General features: G+C 34.7%; 1 pseudogene; it reads right to left on the reverse strand.

The window, feature by feature from the left end:
- Nucleotides 5,374-6,520, reverse strand: OR2N1P (olfactory receptor family 2 subfamily N member 1 pseudogene; annotated as a pseudogene).

Below are 8,340 nucleotides of genomic sequence, written 5' to 3' on the forward strand. Positions count from 1 at the left end.
GTTCAAGGAGATGAATATGCTAATTACCCTAATTTGGTCTCTATACATTGTATATCTATATCAAAACATCATATCTCATAAGCATGTACAATTATATGTGAACTAAAAGGAAAATGGAACTAAATAAAGTAAAATAAAATGGTCCTGCAACATTTTAGCCAGAAAGAAAGGAAAACATATTTTAGGCAGAAGGACAGTGGAAAAGAGAAGACAATATTTGATGTTTAATTTTCACAGTTAATGCAAAACAAAAGCGATAGAACAAAAGTTTATGCCATTTTCACCAATAGAACCATTTTGGAATAGGATCATAAAAAATCAGGTTATAAATTACTGCTAATAATAGCTGACAATTGACTACAGCCAAATAATGAGTTCAAAAGCATTTTATCATGTTCCATTTTCAGATTTTTTAGATAGTAATTAAAACAATGAATAATTTAGTAGCAACTTTATGTTAAAGGCATAGTTAAATGCATAGATAGAACTATTCACAGGAGTTTCACAGACAATAGACCATGTGTCAGTCCTTTATTATAAATATTTTAAAAGGAATGCATCTCAAATTTTTTCCTTCAGCCATAAAATCTTTGTTTCAAGTGAGATGTTTGTTAAAGTACTTGGTATACCGACTGTCATTTAAAAATCTAAAGACATTTTTTTCAGATAGTTTTCTCAAATAGAAAAGACAACCTGGCCATTTCTTGCCAATTATGAATTTTAAAATACAGTCTTAATTATAATATGATATAATGTTCATACTAAGAATTGTGCTCATGCAAATTGAACGTATTAATCAGAAAATAATTTATGTTAACATATTCCTTAGTTCATATAGAAAAGCCACATAATACCTATATACTAACAAAGCTATTGATGTACATAGATGACCAGTCAAAATTACTTATTAATAGCCTTATAATGTGACTTGTCAGATGTGCCCATTTGCCTAAGAGTCACATAGTGAATTCAGATTCAGTCATTAGTTGGTACTCTTTCTAGCAAAATAGCTTCTATGGATTCAAGAAAGAAATGATTAGAGGATTTGCTGCACTTAAGAATTTGAGATCTGAGATAATGAATCCCCTGAGATAGAAGAAGATGATGTCCCCATGGTGCAGTTAACTCTACTGTTTGCTCAGTGGAAGGATATTGGAATCATAGCAAGGGGAGAAATTCCAGAAGCAAATTTTAAAGCAGTTTCTCTGCAAAAACATTTGAATCCTCTCTATTGCCCACTGAGCCCTGCCTCCTCACTATCCTAATGCAGACAGCATATCACATATCACATATATTAAAACAACCTTAAGTTGGACACTTATCAGTGTTTCTTATAAATACTATTATTTTACTTTGAAGAGTTTTTCTGGGGAAAGGGGATTACAGACTCTAAGACTTAGAAGTGTCTGCAGAAACTACTGTTGTCCACTTCCCAATATTAATTCTTGTTAAAATGTATATTATATATCATACTAAGTATGGTATGCATAAACCCTTTATCTTAATATAACATCATGTTAAATTGTTGGATATCTTTAATGTCTCCAAAAAAGAAATGCTAAAATTTCATTTAGATTTATCCTTTATAAATAAAATTTTTGATAACAATTAATTCTCTTTTTGCAAGTAATGTCTTTTTTTTTTTTTTTTTTTTTTTGAGATGGGAGTCTCACTCTGTTGCCCAGGCTGGAGTGCAGTGGCACAATCTCCACTCACTTTAACCTGTGCCTCCCAGGTTGAAACCATTCTTGTGCCTTAGCCTCTCAAGTAGCTGGGACCACAGGCACATGCCAACACACCTGGCTAATTTTTATAATTTTAGTAGAGATGGGGTTTCACCATGTTGGCCAAGCTGGTCTTGAACTCCTGACCTCAGGTGGTCTGCTCATTTTGGCCTCCAAAAATTCTGGGATTATAGGCGTGGGCCACTGCTCCCGGCCAACTGATGTCTATTTCTTCTTGTAGATAATTAGTAACATCTTCCGCGGAATTTGACTTCAGTTTTTCTAGAGTCCTTTTAACTTCTGTTTCAAAAACTACTTTCCTTGATATTAAAGTCGTTGAAATAATCTACACCTTCTGCTCAATCCTGCAGACTTAAAACATCATCACCACTGTCTTTGGCTCATCTCTTTCCCAGAGGACACACATTTAACAAAATTTCCAAGTTAACCTCCTATGTTAATCTCTCACACTTCCCCCATCTTTTTCATTTTTACTTCTCTTATCCTACTAGAGAGCCTCATTATCTATTGCAAAGATTGTTGCAGTACATTTAACTAATTTCCTATGTTTTTGTACTCCAAGTGGTTTTTTACTTTGCTAAATGTAGTCATAAAATAAAGGTCTTACATTGTCTCAGGGTTTAAAATCCTTCAAGTTCTCATCTCCTATAGAAACACACATTCTTTAATATCAGCCTTGGTTCTGGTTCCTGGTTCTCATTCAACATAGATCCTCCTTTCAGTCTCCCATATTGCCCCATGGAATTTCAGATGGAAACATTGAATTCTTCATGATTTTGAATGTATAATTTTAAATTTCCATCATTTTTGCAAGTAGTTTGTTATAAGGTGGAAAAAGCATGAATTTTTGGTAATTGAAAGCTTTCAAATTCTAGTTCTGACGTACACTATGCAAGCTCAAGAATTAGTGAACCACATTTTCATTATCTATCAAATGTGGCTAATACATACCTTAAAGGGTTATTGAAAGATTAAATAAGACCATACATACAATATGTTTAACACTTTTACTAGCTCATGGCAGCTTTTCAATAGTTGTGAGTTCTCCTTTTTAACATGACTTTTTGATTATGATTATGATATTTCCTCAGCCAGTGATGTATTACTATATACTCCTATTAAATATTACAATTTTTATTTGCCTTTTGAAAATATTTTTAATTCTTCTTTGAGTACTTTAATTAGTCTTCTTTTTTCATTCCAAAGGCACATTCTTTTTTTTTTTTTTTTTTTGCTTCTGTGTCTATATTATTATTATTTTTATTATACTTTAAGTTCTAGGGTACACTTGCACAAAGTGCAGGTTTGTTACATAGGTATACATGTGCCATGTTGGTTTGTTGCACCCATTAACTCATCATTTACATTAGGTATTTCTCCTAGTGTTATCCCTCCCCCTGCCCCCCAACCCATGACAGGCACCCGTGTGTGATGTTCCTCGCCCTGTGTCCAAGTGTTTTCATTGTTCAATTCCCACCTATGAGTGAGAACATGTGGTGTTTGGTTTTCTGTCCTTGTGATAGTTTGCTCAGAATGATGGTTTCCAGCTTCATCTATGTCCCTGCAAAGGACATGAACTCATCCCAAAGGCACATTCTTGAAGGTGCATGTTAGCACTTCTTGCCTTGCAGTTATTATGCTATGCAGATCTTAGGACATCTCTAATATGGAGAAAGCCACTGTTAAACCTTCTTGAGTTCTACCTTAAATATTTTTCCAAATACATTTTTAGTGACTTTAAATCTAGGGTTAAAATGCTTTGTTTTCTTCCATTTGTTATTTAGGAAAGGCCTACTTGCTTGGGGAAATAAGAACTTTAGATCACTTTCCTTGAAAGGCAATCTCAGAATTGCTCATGCTTTACACAAAAGGTAGAGCACGCTTTCTCTTTCAAGTATAATGCGTCCCTTCTCTTCTACAGAATTTTTCAAAAGTTGACTGAAGTATCCTTCATGCTGTAGCATACTGAGCAGTATATATTCCCTGGAAATGCAAAGTCCAAATAAAACCTTTCTGTGGGTTTTCCAGTCCACTGTTCTGAGTATTCTTTATTCTGAGATTTTTGCATATAATTCTTAGGAAATCCTGATTTTTCACTGTGTCTAGATTTCACTCATGCCTCTGAAATGAATGTTTTTTACAGGACTTGAAGGTAGTATATACATTAGCCAAGGACGGAGGATAATTTGAGAGAGTCAGATGAACTGTAATGGGTTTTTATAGCAAAGCTTTTGACAAAAATCGTTCTGTGTTTTGCCTTCAAAACTAGAAATTACTATATACTTCTGTATATAAGACTAAGTTAGACAAACTATACCTTAACTAATAAAAATGATCAAAGCTATTGTCTAACACCACAGAATTAGGTCATGTGTTTGTGTGTGCATGTGTATAAAATTTGAAAACATTTTTCTGGCAATCAACCAGAAATATGCCAATTTTTAAAGTTACTTAAATTTTTTTCCAAACTAGATATATAAAAGTTCAATGATTTGAGGATCTGTATCAGCACCAGATGATCTGTTATTTTTCAGCAAGTGTATCTGGTTTGCAGTTGATTCTTGTTTGAACTAACATGAGGTTTTCCTTCCAATTATTGGCTTAGATCTTGATCATACCAGAAGTTATGCCAGAAAAGTCCAAATGACCTTTTGTTTTTCTTACAAGTATTTACTTCTTCACTACACAACACCGTGTTGAACTCTCAACATATTAATTCAACACCAAGTAAATATAAAATCTATTCATTTGCTCTCATAAATTGTAACTAATTTCGTGACAAAGTTTTAAGTTTTGGGGTGTGAGTCCTAGAACTAAGTTTTAGCACTTCCAACTTTTAATGATACAGGTTTTGTACATCATTTGCATTTAACATTTACATCAGTAAAAAGACATATTGTTTGTTGAGGTAATCAAGTTGCTTTTTGTTCCAGAAATGCAAATTATTTTTTTCTCATACTGATTCTGATTCTAACACAGTTAGTTCCAAAAGGCATTCCTGGCTGTTCCAAATTGTGCACGGAAATGCTTCCAGGTTGTGTTTCATTATTAATATCACTTCCTTGTTATCTCACTGATTCGAAGACTCATTATTATAGTATGTAAAAGGAAAGTATCAGAAACTTTTTCATACTTTTTGTCCCACTATTCCACTCATTTCAAAATTTAATAATAAATTATTTAATTAAAAATACAAAATCACTGCATACTTATTTGTTAAAAAAGAATTACACTGAATTTTTAAGAAGCAATAGTATCTACATAAATTGGGGTTGATAAGCTTATGAGACTCATGATTATTCCAAAGTATAATGTGCTTCACATTGAATGCCCAGTGTAGCCACACTGCCCATTTAGACTTGGGACAACATGCAGAGAGTGATGGAATGTTTCTCAGGTGACTCTGACAGGAGGCTCATTGATGAGTGGTTGCTATACTATTTTTACAATTAGCTTGAACTAATAAATTCATTTTACTAATTTTTTTACTACTTAACACAGTTACTATCTCTGTATGTACCAACCAGTATAGAACTATTTTAATATATTTCCATAATATAATGTGCCTACTAGCCAAGTATAATCCTTGCTGAACATGTTTACAAAGAGTCTCGGAGACATAACATATTTTGCAAGAACATGTAAAGCGATATTTGATTATGAGACAAGAATTTGTTAGATAAAACCATAGCAACCTACTCTAACTGTTCAATAACTTCATTTTATGTCTACCCACTATCACTTAAAGCTGAAAATGCTCCTCACCAAGTTGCGTAATGCCCCCTTTACATTCTTATTCCGCAGGGTGTAGATAAAAGGGTTGAGTGAGGGAGTCACCACTCCATAGAAGAGGGCCATGAACTTGGGTTGATCCCTTGAGATGGAGGAGGGGGGCTGAAGGTACATGCTGATGGCTGGGCCATAAAATAAGAAAACTACAATAAGATGGGAGGAGCATGTCCCAAAGGCCTTTTTCCTTCCCTTGGAAGATTTGATCTTAAATACAGCACTTCCAATACTAGCATAGGAAGCAAGAATTAAGCATAGTGGGACAGCTAACATAAAAATGCATACCACAGAGAGTGTGAGCTCGTTAGAACCCTTTTCACCACAGGCAATCTTTATCAGAACAGGAATCTCACACACCAAGTGGTCCAGTTTATTGAGACCACACAGTGGCAATTGTAATGTGGCAGTGGCCTCTGAGACAGCATAGATTATTCCAATTAGCCACACGGTGGAAACTAAGGATACAGACGCGCTGATTCATGATGAGGGTGTAGTGAAGAGGTCTGCAGATGGCCACATAGCGATCAAAGGACATAATAGCCAAAAGCAAACATTCTGTTCCCCCCATTATGTGAAAGAAATAAAGCTGAACCGCACACCCCATATAGCTGATGGTCTTCTTAGAGCTTCCCAGGTTAAACAGCATCTGAGGGACAATGCTTGTGGTATAACACATGTCCAAAAAGGAGAGGTTGGTGAGGAAGAAATACATGGGGCTATGAAGACGAGAGTCTAACCTGGACATGAGAATGATTGTGATGTTTCCCATCACGGCTATAGGGTACATTATAAGAAGACTAGTGAACAGAGGAAGCTCTAGCCAAGGGCGGTCTGCAAAGCCTAGCAGAATAAATTCTTCAGGGTGGCTTTCATTAGTTAGTGGCATTATCTTCAATTTGTTTCACCTGTAGTAGGGATATGCCAAAGAAGGTAGAGCTATGGGTATCGACAAAACATGGTGATGCATTGATTGTCTACTTATAGATGACAGGGTGCAGTAACCTGGGGTCAGAATAACATAAAACATCTGGTATCAGGTGATCTTATTTTCCTATGGGACACTACAAATTAAAGGCAGATATCTTAATCCAGTAACCCAACCATTCTGAAATGGAATTTCTTCTTCTGTGTAAGAAGGTTGACAATAACTACCATTCTTGAGTGAGGTGAGGATTAAATACAAAGTAAAAGTGACCGTATAGTTTTCAAACTTTGAGTTGCATAAAAATCAGCTGAGAAGGTTGCTAGAATGAAATTTATTGTTTCCTATCTTTAGGTGTCTGATAGAGTAAATGTGGCCTGGGGCTGAGGAACAGGATGGTTCATTTTCAGAAACAGTGCTGCAAGGCATTACTGAAATGCTAAGAAGAATAAACATATTGAGGTAGCAATGGTAGGAGAAAAAGGAGGAGAAAACCTGGAGTCATAAGAATCATCAAGATAGCATTGTCCAGCTCCAACTAGTTAGTTAAATAATCATATCATCTCCAAGGGAGGCAAGAAGACTTTTGGATTTAAATCTATCTCAGCGATTTGAAATTGAACAAGAAAATTAAATACTTTTATTGTCTGTTTTCTCAAGTATAAATTGAGAGAGTTAACCTACAATGACAAAGTTTCCCTATGCTCAGGAATTCGATTTTGCATTCTTGGGCTTTTATTCATTACGATTTAGTTCAACCTTTGGGCATTTGATATTTTATGTTAAATTTTAGCTAACATCCATTTTGAAAAAAATTTTTTTATTCAATGAGATTATCATCTTGCTTTAATATAAGAGTTTGGATAGTTGTCATGACCCACTGATTGCACATAACTACAAATATGTCTTTTAGTTCTGAGTGACTGCAGTCAGGACAAAAGTTGATGTCCCAATTTAGGCTTAGAGACAGTCAAATCTGAAATTATTTTACATTTTCAAGACCTTTCCTTTTTTTTCAGCTAGAAAGTACATTGATATACCAACCTCAACTAGTTTAGTGAAGCAGTATTTTGAGAAAGATTAATTTTTTGCTCATATGCTTTTCTTTTAGTGGTGACATGTGTTTTATGAATATCACAATTTTCTGCAGGATGAGAAATATTCGGTTGAAAAGTTAAGATAGCATCTCAGTGACAACATTCTGAGTAACTCTGCCAGTCAATTAGTTGTTTAATGGTAACAGATTACATTTATAAGTTTATAAAGCACAGCTTCCACATTCTCTGTTTCATTACATCTTCAAAGTCATCCTGTGAGGTGTCATACAAAGCTCCTCAGGGCTAACATGTGAATGTTGCCCTTTGATTATATGCTATCTCACGCCGGAAGTGTGCAAAACAATAATAACACTCTTTCCAACTAGTCCTTAGTGAACCCTCTGTGTCAAACACCCCCATATGCTTTCTACACCATTAAATCATTTAGTATCCATCCCCAAACGCTATGACAAAGAAAATTTTACTATCCATATTTTAAGATATTGTTAATCATTTGTTTCCATACTCTGCTAATGACTAAGAACATCCTAAAGATTGAAAAGTAATTGCTGCTTTAAATGAGGTAATAAAATATTGAGACTATAAACTCAGAGTTTCAAGAGCCCCAGAAAGCATCTGTACTCGAGGGTTGTTCCTGAATGAGTGTGACCCCCTTCACATTATTTGACCTTGATTTAATCAAGATGTTATATGAGTGCATCAAATTTAGAAATATGTCTTGGCCTGAGTGCTTTTTCAGATGAAAATCCGTATTGGAAATGAAAGATGAAATAAAGGCATGATATAAACTAATTTGATGTCAAAATAAATACAGTCATACATAGCT

Source organism: Homo sapiens, chromosome 6 (genome assembly GCF_000001405.40).
Source record: "Homo sapiens chromosome 6, GRCh38.p14 Primary Assembly".
NCBI lineage: Eukaryota > Metazoa > Chordata > Mammalia > Primates > Hominidae > Homo > Homo sapiens.